The 14,094-nt window shown below is 36.5% G+C and overlaps 1 protein-coding gene across 22 annotated transcripts in view; it reads right to left on the bottom strand.

Annotated features, from left to right (window-relative positions):
- Nucleotides 1–14,094, bottom strand: part of MCTP2 (multiple C2 and transmembrane domain containing 2) — a 252,587-nt gene that overhangs the window by 14,408 nt on the left and 224,085 nt on the right. For all 22 annotated transcript variants that reach the window (NR_169532.1, NR_169530.1, NR_169529.1 and 19 more), the window contains one exon: nucleotides 11,299–11,408. Coding sequence is in view for 15 of the 22 variants with exons in the window: in XM_047432839.1 (XP_047288795.1) it covers nucleotides 11,299–11,408 (110 nt within the window). In the remaining 7 variants the exon portion in view is untranslated. The remainder of the gene's footprint in view (nucleotides 1–11,298; nucleotides 11,409–14,094) is intronic.

Genomic DNA, 14,094 nt, shown 5'->3' with positions numbered 1-14,094 from the left:
TGATTACTTATATTTAGAATTTCCAGACTTGTTTACACCAGAAATCTAACAGTGTCTTGAAATAAATGGGGAAGCATTTGACTATAAATCATCACACTGCCATTAATAGATAATGTAGGTGATTACACTATGTATTATTTTCACAGAGCTCCTGGCTCCTTTTGTTGTATCTATTGCCTGCTTTGACTGGCATGGAAATGGAGATCTAGAAGATGGGACATGGACTTGGATATATTGTAGAGATTCATGTGCATTCCTAGAGATCGAACGCCCTACTGAGGTGCCGAGAGTATTTCTTCTTAATGGTCTTCATCTTCACATACAGATTTAACCGTAGAGCCTCATTGCCTTGTGCTAGGAATACAGAAAGGTAGAATGTTTTTTATGGGAGACGGGATTTTAGAGGGAATACCACAAAGTTATTAAGCATTTTATATGTGCCAGGCATTGTGCTAACATTGTTCACATATTTAGAATGTAATGCTCTTAATAATTCTGCCCCATTTTATAGATGAGCAAATTAAGACTGACAGAGATTGTCTAACTTGTATAAATAATCACAATTCTATCAACAGTATAGGAGAACTACAGTAATCTCATCCTCTGGTTAAGACTGAGGCTGGGCATGGTGGCTCATGTCTGTAATCCTAGCACTTTGGGAGGCCGAGGTGGGCAGATCACTTGAGCTCAGAAGTTCAAGACCAGCCTGGTCAACATGGTGAAATCTCATCTCTACTAAAATACAAAAATTAGCCGGGTGTGGTGGCGTGCACCTGTAATCTCAGCTACTTGGGAGGCAGGAGAATCACTTGAACCTGGGAAGTGGAGGTTGCATTGAGCCGAGATTGCATCACTGCACTCCAGCCTGGGCAACAGAGTGAGACTCCCTCTCAAAAACAAAAGACTGAGTGTTATTGTTTTTAATCTTTGCCTATTATGAGGTAAAATATTATATATATATGTCTTTTTCAATTCTTTAAATTATAAGCAAATTTGAATACCTTTTAATATGCCTATTGGTCATTTTAATTTGTTTCTCTATGATTTCTAACCTTTTTTTTTGGCCTGGGGCTATTATTTAGGAACGTGCTTAAGAAAATTGATTTATTTAAGAAAATTGATTTATAAGCAAACTGACTTGGGTTCAAGTTCAACCTTTATCTCTTCAAGTTAAGTAACTCCCAGAAATTGATTGAATAAATCTGAACCATAATTTCCAGTCTGTAAAACTGGAATAATAATAATACCTATATCACAGATTCTGCTAGAATTAAAAACTTGCAGAATAGTTAGCTCAGTGTCTGGCACATTGTAAAAACTCAAAATAGTTACTATTTGCTAGTTTTCTCCTGAGCTGTTTTGCTTAACTTTTTCCTCAGTGATTTCCAATATCAGTTTGGATAGTAGAAAAATCAGACATTTGTCATGTTTGTTATATTATATATTCTTTCAGTTTGTTGCTTTGTTTATGATTAACATAAAAATTATAAACTTTCGCATGAACAAATTTATCAGTTTTTCCTTGTCAATGTCTAGATTTGGCCAGGCTTACCAAAGCCCTCCCCTCATCCAGTGATGTGACTCCACCAACTGATTAATCACTATTTTTCTCCCTTCTTTATTATGCTATCTTTGTTATTCTGAATTTCTACATTTTGAATTTCTACATTTGTATAGGTCCATTCCCAACTTCTCTATTCCACAGCAGAACCTGTAACAGAACTTTTTGGAGGGCAATTTTACAATATGCGTTGAAATGTTATCATCTGAACTCCACAACGGGATCCAGTTCAGCATGGCAAGAAATTTAACTTGCAGCTTTCCTTGCCCAAGGGCACAGGGGCAGTACATAAATGTCTTCTCCAGGCTGGTTAGTAATATTTAAATAAACTCAGTAAAATAAATGTTGAAAAATCTCGAAATAAAGAAAAAATTAATTAGATTTATACTCTGCAACGCTACGCAGCTTTAAAAAAAAGGTGAGAATACACTAAAAACACTCACACAACCCCCAACCCCAACCCGCGGGCTCAAAGCTACATACAGTAAAAAACTAAACTGTAGAAGTAATGTACATATATAAAATAAAGACTTTATATTCCATTGGTCATATTTGATTATTATAATAAAAGTAAGTAACAACTATATCAGGTACAACAAATAACTAAGGAAAAAGAAATTTGCCCCCTTTCAAATTTTTTTTAAAGTGGAGACACAGTGGATGGCAGATCCTGGACATAAATCCATAGCTAGGTGGCAACAAAACCCACTCTTTTTTCACCCTGGAAGATTACTTATTAACTTTGTAGCCTATAATGTAAAAATAGCTCCTGTGCAACTTTTGTTAGCTCTATGGCCTTACGTAATTTACCCCACCACTCTGTGCTTTCATTTTCCCATCTCTAAAACAGGAATAATAACTGCATCTACTTTACAGAGTTGGTGAGGGGATTCCATACATTTATACATATAAATCATTTATAAAGATATATGGCATATAGTCACTATTTAATAAGTGTTAGCTACCCTCATTTTTCTCATTGTTATTGCACAAAACACACAAATATGGAAAGAAAGTTATTGATATCTGGTAGAGTTTTGAAAATAATACTAGCTACAAAAATAAATCAAATTACTTTTTAAAAAGGAATAGACTTTATCATTCCTTTTCTAGCAATACCATTCCACACCGAAGAGAAAGTAAAATACTAATATCAACAGAAAAAAAGCCATGACTAGGCTGACATGAAAATAAAAATATAATACACTGTAAAAATAAAATAAACTGCAAGAACTCTTGGAGGTAACTAAGCTCCAATGTCAATTTTCACTCTAATATTTTCTGCCAAATATTGGGATTCTGAGCTGCTTTCTGTTGTCTGCATGGTACGATGGGAGATTGGGGGCACGAGGGGAAGCCTAGGAACTCTCCACGGGGAGATTTTAATATGAGACCATTGCATAAAGCTTACATATTCAGGATAAGAATAAGGAAGGAGGGACACATTGTACCATAGAGTGGACATAAATCATGCCCTCGGTGCTAAGTGGAGAAATCTATCATTTCAGTTTATGCTACCAGTGTTGCTTGAAAAGCCTCAAGCAAAAAAATTTAAGAAAGGACCTAGATTGGTAGGTCCTGGGACTGGTAGTATCCCAAGGTGACTTAAACAGTAATCCTCTCCAAGGAAATGCATCATCAACTATGATGTTTGAGTACTCTCCACATGAAAATCCAAGGAATATAGGTGTATTCTTAAAAATGCAAACCACAAAAAGACACATGACACCATGAGTAAGAGCCAGCAAAATCTGAAAGAAAAGATTTCAGATATTGAAATCTAATCCAATATATTAAATCATAATGTTTAATATGTTAAAAATCATGTAAGAGATGCTTGAAGATATAATCCAAAAGAAAATGAAAAACAAGAAAAATTGATGAAGTAGAATTTTGAAAAATGCAAACCATAATAATTGAAGTTAAGAACCCAATGAATGAATTGGACAGGATTTTAAACTGCAGAGAACTAATACAGTCCAAGATTTTCCAAAGAAAGTATTTAGAAGGCATCACAAAGAAGAAACAGATGGCAGATATCAAAGAGATGTGGAACATAGATTAAGAAGGTTCCTGCACTGACTGGGAAGACATTAAAAGTGACAATATTAGACTGTGGCACATAACGCTGTTAACTCTAAGATGACAACTAAAAGAATAGCAAGAGTGTTTCAATTCCTAGCAAGTGGAGGAAAGATACAGAAGAAATAAAAAGACACGGAACAAGCAAGTAAACACTACTATTAATAAATTACAGATTTAAATCTAAATGCAATCGTAAGCATCATTAATTCTGCAGGGATTACATGCTACAGTGAAATGACAGTGATGGTGAGATACAAGAGAAACATTTGAAACAAAAAGACAGGTTGAAAGAAAAGTACAGAAAAGGAGAAAAGAAAGGTGAGACTGTAGTCACCCCTTATCTGCAGTTTGGCTTTCTGTGGTTTCAGTTAGTCGGAGTTCCGAAATGTTACATACAATAAGATATCTTAAAAGAGAGGGGAACACCACATTCACATAACTTTTATTACATTATCTTACCATAATTGTTCTATTTCATTATTATTGTTAATCTGTTACTGTACCTAATTTATAAAGTAAACTTTATCATAGGTCATGCCTGTATAGGAAAAAGCATAGCATATACAGAGGTCAGTACTATCCATGATTTCAGACATCCACTGGGGATCTGAGAACATATCCCCCATGGATAATAGGGGACTACTGTATAGCCATACCAATATTGGTCAACAAGGTATTTAGGAAAAAACTGTGTTAGCAAGAAATAGGTTGCTTCATACTAATGCTCCAATCAACCAAGAAAATATAATAATTTTAACATCTACAAACCAAATAATGTAGCTTCAAAATATAGAAAGCAAAAACAGATAAAATTCAAGGGAGGATTAGACAAATGTACAACGACAGTGAAGTTTAAACACATCTAAGTAATTGATAGAACAAGCCAAACAAAAACAAATCAGTACAAATATAAAAGGCTTGAATATAATGAGCAAATTTAATCTAATGAATATAGAGAACAATGTATCCAATGATCTACTTTTCAAGCTCACATGGAAAATTGACAAAAGTAGTCCATTGCTGGATCAATATTTTCTAACCATAAAGCAATTAATCTAGAAATCAGAAACGAAAAGATAACTAGAAAATCTCCATATACTTGGAAATTTAGCAATACATATCTTAGCCAAGGAAGAAATCAAAATAGAAACCAGAAAATAGCTTTAACTAAATTTGAATGATAATGAGAATATTACATGCCAAAATGTTTGGCATGGAGCTAGAGTTGTGTTTACAGGAAATTGTAGAGCCTTAAATGTTTATGTTAAGAAAGAAGAAAGACTGAAAATAAGTGATCTAATTATCCATCTTAAAGAGTTAGAAAAATATACGAGTAGTAACTAATGAACAAACAAGCAGGAAATAGAGAAGATTAGTGAAGGCAAATGGTGCTTATTTCTAAAGACTAATATAATTGATAAATCCCTGTCAAGAAGAAAGAAGATAACAATATCAAGCATAGAAGAGTAGGTAATGCAACAGATCTTACTGACATTAAATAAGAGGATGTTATAAACAACATTAAATCAACAAGTAGAAAATTTATATGAAAGGGACAAACTCTTTGAAAATTACAATTTACAGAAACAGAGATGAGAAATAATAGAATGGCTGACGTTTATATATATATATATATATATAATATATATATATATATATTATATATATAAACATATAATATTTCATGCAAAATCATCTCCAAAGGAAAACTTCAGGCCTAGATGCTTCAGCAGCTAATTCTATAAATCTTAAAGGAAGTAATGATATCAAACTCCCATAAACTTTTCCAGAAAAAAGACAGAGAACCTACCTGACCTTGTATTATGAGTTTAGAATAAACTTCTAGCCACAAGAAAATGTCAAGAACACAAAATAAGTCAATCTCACTGATGATCATAACTGCAAAAATCCTAAGCAAAAACAAGTAAATAAAATCCAGCCAGATATAAAGGGACTGTAGAACAATAATGTTGGGTTTATTCCAAGAATGTAAGATTGGTTTACCATTTGAAAACCAATCAAAATAATTCGCCACATAAACCAAAATAAAGCATAAAAATAACATCATTTCAATGAATGCAGGTGAAAATGTTAGGGAAAGCTCAGCTCATGTTCAAAATAAAAACTCATAGCAAACTAGGAATAAAAAGGGAACTTCCTTTACCTGATAAAGCATATTTACAATAACCTACAGCAAACATCATTCTTGAGGGTGAAACGTTGAAAGCTTTCTTTCTGAGATCCCATGAGAAAAGAATGCCTCAAAATACCAATTCTAAACCACACTGTATGACAGCTAATAGCCAGTACAGCAAGTCAAGAAAATGAAATGTGTAAGGGCTGGAAAGATGAAGAAAAAATTATTCTTATACATTTATCTAAGGAAAAAAATCCAGAATAATAATCTTCATATAAAAATAAGATAACTAAGTTTACCTGGTTATTAGAAACAAATCAAAGCAGAAAAATTAATTTCATGTCTATATGTGAGTAACAGGTAGAAAATGAAACGTGAAGAAAAGATGCCATTTAAACTAGCACCACACTATCAAGTACTCAGGAATATATTTCACACAAAAAAAGTCAGACTTCTATACAGAAAACTCTAAAATAATAATGAGATAAATTAAAGACGATCTAAAGAGATATTACACTGGAATATAACAAGCTCATATATTAGAAAACTTAAGCATGTATCTGGATATCAATTCTTTCCCAATTAATGCAGTCCTAATAAAGATCCCAACAGTTGTGTGTGCACAAGTGTATGGTGTGTCATGGGCTTTCTAGAAATGGAGTTGGGCGACACACTCACTCTCCCACATAGCCTGTCAGATTTGCCTTCTAAGAGCCAGGTCAGTTGACTAATGCATTTTCCCCTCAGCGACCCACAATTTTAGTGTTAAAATGGTTTAGAAGGAAGGCAGGGGACATTCCCTGGGTTTATTTAAGACACACAAGAAGAAAGTCAAGTCAGTGGCCATAAAATAATACTCATAATAGTTAATATTTTTAGGTGATTAATACCTGTCATCCATTGGTCTAAACTCTTTATATGTACTAATTCATTTAAATTTTATGAAGCAGAAATCATTATTGTTATTCCCATCCTACAGATGAGGACCCTGAGTCCTAAAAGTTAAATAAGTTGCCTAAGATCATTCACTTCCAGTGACAAAACTGGGATTTGAACTCAGAAAATTGGTTACGATCCCGTCTTCATTGCTTCTGTAGTAGGCGCTTTAAAAAATGTAAATAAGCACATGTTACTCATGTAATCTAGCTGAACATTCCTGTTTAAAATGCTGAGGATTTAATTCAAAGACACTAAGTAGCAATACCCCTAACACTTAAAACCTTACTAGACTCTTTCCCCATTTATCATAGAACATCTTCTATAGAAAATCCGAAGTTGAAGGAGCTTGGTAAATCAAAGCTTTCCCATCTCAAAACAAGACACTTTGTAAAACAACATTTTCATAGATTTCTCCAGTTTTCCTCACTTGGGAGCTCCCTAAATCCTCAGAAGGTAATCCCTGACTTAGGCACTTATGAGACAAATGACTAACTTCGCCATTAATGAAAAAACTCAAGGAATCCTCTTCATTCATTCAACCACATGAGCTCACTAATATGGAAGAACATCGTTTTCTAAATTTCAGCCCACTTAACAAAAATGATTGTGACACATCCCAGAAGGTGGGTGCAGGTATATTCTCTGGGTCCTCCCCCAACTGGCTGCCCCACTGCACTGACCTTGTGTCAATGGGATTATTTCCTTGTTTCCAAGGCTTGGACAAATGAGGTCCTCTGACTCTTCTTCCCAGGGAAATGAAAACTACTGGTCATATTCTGCTGTAGGTTCTTATTTTGTCCTGTCTTCTACTAAAGGCTTTCCTTCACATATGCATGGTTCTACACTAGCCTGTGTTTGCTTTCCTCACACCTGGCCCCCTCCTTTGTCTTCCTTTGTCCCTTTTGACATGTCACTCTTGATTTAAACACAAAATGCATCTGTCTCTCATTCCCCATGTCCCCATCAGGATTCCAGCCCTATTTAACCTGGATTCCAACCACTTAACTGGAATCAAACCTGGATTCCAGCCCCACTTAACCTCAGGATTCCAACCACTTAACCTGCTTGCCCATCTTCTGCTTAGTATTTTTTCACATCATTTCTAGCCAGGGCAGTTCTACTTCTTATGAAGGTGGCTTCTAAGCTTTACCCTGGAACATCTGTAGGCATAACTTGCCTATTCTAGGTCTCCCTTAATCTCAGTATCTCCTCTGTGGAGATTTCCCTAGCCACTCAAGGACACAAGAGTTAGAGCCCTCACTCCATAATGATAGAACACATGATATGCTTCACTCTCCTGCACCACTCTGCCTGCTGTCTAGCATAAATGCTGCATGGTTTTTGGTTTTTTGTTTGCTTTTTTGAGCTGGAGTCTCACTCTGTTGCCCAGGCTGTAGTGTGGTGGTGCCATCTCGGCTCACTGCAACCTCCGCCTCCCAGGTTCAAGCGATTCTCCTGCCTCAGCCTCTGGAGTAGCTGGGATTACAGGCATGTGCCACCATGCTCGGCTAATTTTTGTATTTTTAGTAGAGACGGGGTTTCACCATGTTGGCCAGGCTGGTCTCGAACTCCTGACCTCAGGTGATCCGCCCACCTCAGCCTCCCAAAGTGCTGGGATTACAGATGTGAGCCACCGTGCCCAGCCAAATGCTACATGTTGAGTAAAATATTTTGGCTTCATATATACATACATTTAAAATTTGTGTAATATTAGGGAAGGTAACTAGAGAAGGTAAGAGTAGGAAAAAAGGAATACAGTTCATTCCACATAAATGCAACACCACTGGGGTCCCCCCCAACCCATCAGTATCAGGGAAGCCTTACTTTGAGAGTTTTATGTATTTCTGTATTTTTGCCAGTTGCCAAGAGTTGAATAAAAGTTTTCCTGGTTCTTAAGCACTGAGTTACAATGGAATTCCAACAGAATTACACACGACATCCCACTTGAATGCCCAGCAGGGACTTTAAGGTCATTGTAATAATGAATGGCCAAGAATCAATAGGAGTTGAGCCTTAGCAGCCTTCCTGTGCTGCAGCTGGGCAGAACAGTACTCTGTTCATGGGCTGAAGACACATCTCAGACATGGCCACCACAGCTGTGCTGGGCACAGCTGCCCCTCAAAGCACTGCAGGGTTGGGAGCCTGTTTAAATCACTCTGCCCTCTTCTCTCCTCAGACACATTTCCTTTTACATTATCAACGGCACAACAGTCACTTTTGTCTTTTAGAGATGTTCCAGAATGGAAACAGTTTTACCAAACAACATGATCTTCCTTCCTGGGTCTTGACCCCACTCTGTGTCCTCTTATCCTCCTTGCTGTCAATACGTGCCTCACTGAACTTTCTTCCACTGACTTTTTCCATCTCCTCAAGGCCTGCATGACATGCCTCATCTCTAGGCACTGCCAACCGCACCTCCATGGCACGGACACACTAACTCAATCCCTTACATCTCCCTGTATCTCCCACATAGTCTTGGGCTTTGAGCGTTTGCACAAGGGCTCTCCACTACTGAAGCCCTCATTCATCAATTCTTTGCCCAGCTATCTCTTCCTATTCTCAGAGATGCTGATAAGTTTCTTCTGTTTCAGAATTGCCTGCGGTCTGTCTTTCTCCTACATCTCTTCCTGGGCTGATCAGATCTCTCCCAGAATTCTCTCTTACCTCTCCCTACCACTAATGCTACTGAATTCTAATTGGCTATTACTCTGTTTCTCCCTCATTGAAATAGAGATTTCTTGAGGGTAATGACATTATAGTGTAGTAATGAGGAGGACAGGTTCCAATCCAAGCTACATAGCTACTAGTTGTGTGATCTTGGACTACAAATTTAATCACTCTGTGATTCAGTTTCCTCATCTGTAAAATGAGGATATTAACAATCCTTACTTTATAGGGTGGTTTGAATGATGTAATCCTATTCCTTTAAGTAGCTCCTCAAAGGAGCTAGTGTGTTTAAAGGGCTTAGAAGAGTGCATGGCTGGCATGCGATAACAGTTGGTGTTGCTATCATTATTGTAATTATGGTTGCATTTCTCATTCTTAGACCAACTTAGACCAAGTCAGTGTCTGAAACTCAATAACTGATAGTTGAGTGAGGAAATGAATAAAGAATTATGATGCCCTCCTCATTTTACTATTCATGTTTGCTTTCAAATATGTTTATATTAAACATTTTGAGGGTAAATTCAGGAATCTTTTGCCAATTTATATGAAACCTACAAGAATAAAGCAAATAGGCATCATATCTGTGAGCAAAAATTATTTTTTTCTTAAGATATTAATAATGGGTATAACTGTAAATTCAATAAAAATTCATCAACTTTGTTTAAAAGTCATTTATAACTTACTTTTTTTAAACATACACGTTTACTATGCTTATAATAAATGGGCATTCGAGGGCAATGTCATTGGCTGTGCAACTGAGAAAACATTAGTATTTACATAAAGTTGCATGTTAACTACTTATATTTCCTGATGTTAATATCATTTATTGATTTCCTTGCATTTTAATGCATAAGGCTTTCCCTTGGTTTTTAGCACCACTTTTAATCTGTTTACCCATGCAATTCCAAAACAATATATTCTTAAAGAAACTAGAATGATCCCCGTAGACACGACCAATAAAGTAAGAATTAATCCTTAGAAAGAACACGGTTGACACAATTCTAGATTAAAGGGGGAAATAAGTTAATAATTCAAAGGAAAAAAATTAAAAACCTTCCACTTATTGGTGCCAAATGAAAACTAAGTAATGCAGAGTTGATAATGTATAAAACAAAACAGAAAAAAACCTATGAATCTACAGTCTTTCTTAACTGGAGTTCCATTAGAGAGTTTAGCTATCATGTCCTAAGATGGGGGTGGCAAGCTGTGGGTAGACTATAAATCAAATCCAGCATGTTACCTGTTTATATAAATAAAGTTTTATTGGAATGCATACCATACCCATTCATTTACATATTAACTGTTACTCCTTTTACACTTTAACAACAGAGTTGAGTAGTCAGGACAGAGACCATATGTCCCATAAAGCTGAAAATATTGTCAACTTTCTCTATAAAGGGCCACAGAGTAGTATCCTGTCCTAAGACATCCATATATGTGGTGACTTAACTTCACATTTATCCATCTATGGTGCTACTAGATGTGTATCTTTCTTTGGAGAATTGGAGAGAAAAGTTACTCAAGGCATTTACTAAGTTCTGTGGTTCAGATAGCAAAGGCTCCTGTATAGCACATTTGCTTCTCTTTTTATTTCTGAATAGGGTAACATTTTAAATATCTATCATTTGTCACCCAAACTGATATATTTTTGAGTGAAAGGGAACACTAGTAATATTTATGTTGGGGTGACTGGAATAAACTGGGCCGTATGGTCACCCCAGTTCTGAGGCACCACCCAACTGTGAAGTTAAGAAGCCAACTGAAGTCAGACAGTGCTAACCCAACAGTGTTGCTTTGGTGTGTTTTTGTATTTTCTTGCCTCCCTTTGTCGCACACCACTGCCATTACCCCACTGTCCTTGTGGATAGCAGGTCTACTGCAAACACCACAACACAAATTTAGAACTTACTTCTTAATCCTTTCTCCAAAAGAAGCTATTTCCTCCAAGACGTTTTGAACAGTTGAAACAATATCCTGTACCATATAGATTCTTTCAATCAACCCCTTTTTCTCAGATTCCTAGAAAACATAAAAGCAAGATTTAACTCAGTTACTTCATTTTTTATCATGCTGATACAGAAAATATTATAACATGTTATAATAACAAGGTTTTTACCAATAGAGTGACACAAGAGATAAATCATTGTTTTACAACTTAAATATTGACTCCCCCCCCAGAAAAATCTGTTCAGTCACTTAGATGCTACCACTCCTAACGCGCAAGCCTCAGTTGCTACCTCATTGCCATGAGGTGATAAAGGGAAGCCCACAGAACCAAGCACTTCACTTCCCCGTGGAGGCTGCCGCGTCCCTCGCAGAATTCTGCAATCCCGTCAGTCTGGCTAACTCTGACTTCCTCTGTCTCCACAGGTTTTCTGAAGCTCACCCTACTCCTCTCCTATCAGTGTTCTTCAGAGATGTTCCTGGCATGTTGGAGACAGAGGTAGTATGATTCCTAGTACTGGAGCATCTTAGTCAAACTCCGCTGCATTTTTAAGCATGTTCTAAACATATTGCCAGCCCGATGACATTTCATCCATCCTTTGGCAACCACCTCAGAAACAAAGCAAGCAGCTGTGGACATGCTACAAAGTAACCCCACAGTGCACTGCTGGGAGGGCAGCCTACCCAGATTATTCCCTTCCAGGATGATCAGCAATTGATTGCGATCTCCTCATGACATTAGAAGCAAATACAAATTCATCTTCCGTAATTTCCAATGCTTCATGTGAAATGGAATTCAGCTTTCTAAAAATATTATCCTTACTTTGCTTATAGAAAACCTTACATGTGTTTTTACCATGCCAGGTAACTAACAGTTATGCAGGTTACTTAGAAATCACTCAAATGTCAGGAGATTCCCTAAAGAGTAGTATTTTTACACTATTTTTAATATTCTGATGCTATGTTCTAGCTCCCTTATTGACTTTGCTGTAATTGGGATGTAGTCAATGAGCTCTCAACTTCTACCTCTCTGGGTCATTACACCTATTGTATGAAACCTAAAACCTCAAATAGTTCTTACAGAACTTTTTTCCTATATAGAATTTTAGTTGGGTGAAAATTGTACTAAACTATCAAGCAAACACTTCTAAATTTAAGAGGACATTCCTGTAATACCATCTGTGCTGCAAAAGGAAAAAATAAAATCATTTTCCTCTTGTATCCTTTGTTCCATTAAACTGGAGTCATGGATGGAGTGAAAGAGAACCCACTACCAATAGGGATTGCGGGTAAAAGCACCAAGATGTCAGAAATGTTGAAAAACACAAACCACCCTTCTTGCATCTGCCTTTATGAAACTACTTGGCTGAAACAGACAAAGGAAGAACAGAGGCTAGAATGCCTCATTGCCAGCCCTTCTCCAGTAAAGGGTGCTGCAATGGCTTGAATAAATTATTACCATCAGGACTGTACTCCTTTATCCATTCATTCTGTGCAGAAGGAAAACCAGGTTCATTGCTTCCTTCTGCAATATCAAACTTTCAAGATACTTTTACTTTTTTATCCTAATTTGAATTTTTTCCCTTACTCTAATTCCTCAGTTTGTGCTACAAATTAGATATGCTGCCAGAGCGTACTAATTCATGAGTCCACCGACATCTATTAATGGGCACAATGGTGAAAACCCAGCTCTGTCTGCCACATAAGTATTCATGTTTATAAAGGAACATTTGAAAGCATGAGGGAATTTGACCCAAAGGCCAAAAGTGGCTTCCTCTTTTCGGCAGCATCCAGTTTAGGTCAAAACAATTTCTTGGAAAATGACTCAAGTTTCCATGTCATTCGATTTAATAAAAACTTCCTATTTCAACTGTCTAATTTTTTTTCCCTGTGAAACACCCAAATAGTGAGGTTCTGGTTGTGAAGAAAGCATGAGTTAGTATGCCAAAATAACGATGCTCATGAGTCCTGTTACTTTATAATGAATTTGATGTTTGGAGTATTAAATATCCAAAGACTAGGCTAAAGAGTCTTACTATATCTTGAGTAACAGAATAACTTATCATCTGGACTTGTTAATACTTTTAAGAGTAGAAGTAAACAATTAATTTTTGATTATTGATGACTGATAACTTGGTTTTATTATATTGGACCTATAAAACTATTCCATTTTTATTTCACAAATACATTATTTTCAAATAAAAAATAGATTTTTGTGCATTAAAATAAATTTGATCATCTGGATATTTAAAAATGACACACGAAGAATGATTATTTGTGATATATATTCATATATTTTAGTCAGTTACTAGCTACAACTGTCTATATACCGATGTCAGGATTACTTTTCAAAAGAATGTACTTTTTAATGGCATCTTTTTATTTCTAATATTGCACGAAATTGTTATTAATCACCTTCAGAGGTGTCATTAAATTGACACCTTAATTGACTCCACTGTAGACTATACTTTTAATAATACTTTCTGAAGCTGGGCATGGTGGCTCACGCCTGTAAGCCCAGCACTTTGAGAGGCCAAGGCGGGCAGATAACGAGGTCAGGAGATGGAGACCATTCTGACCAACATGGTGAAGCCCAGTCTCTACTAAAAAATACAAAAATTAGCTGGGCATGGTGGCGCGTGCTTGCAGTCCAAGCTGAGGCAGGATAATCACTTGAACCAGGGAGTCAGAGGTTGCAGTGAGCCCAGATGGCGCCACTGCACTCGAGCCTGGCGACAGAGCGAGACTCCGTCTAAAAAAA

This window comes from Homo sapiens, chromosome 15 (genome assembly GCF_000001405.40).
Source record: "Homo sapiens chromosome 15, GRCh38.p14 Primary Assembly".
NCBI classification, from domain to species: Eukaryota; Metazoa; Chordata; class Mammalia; order Primates; family Hominidae; genus Homo; species Homo sapiens.
The sequence above is the reverse complement of the archived record's forward strand: the minus strand, read 5'-3'. Positions and strand labels throughout refer to the sequence as shown.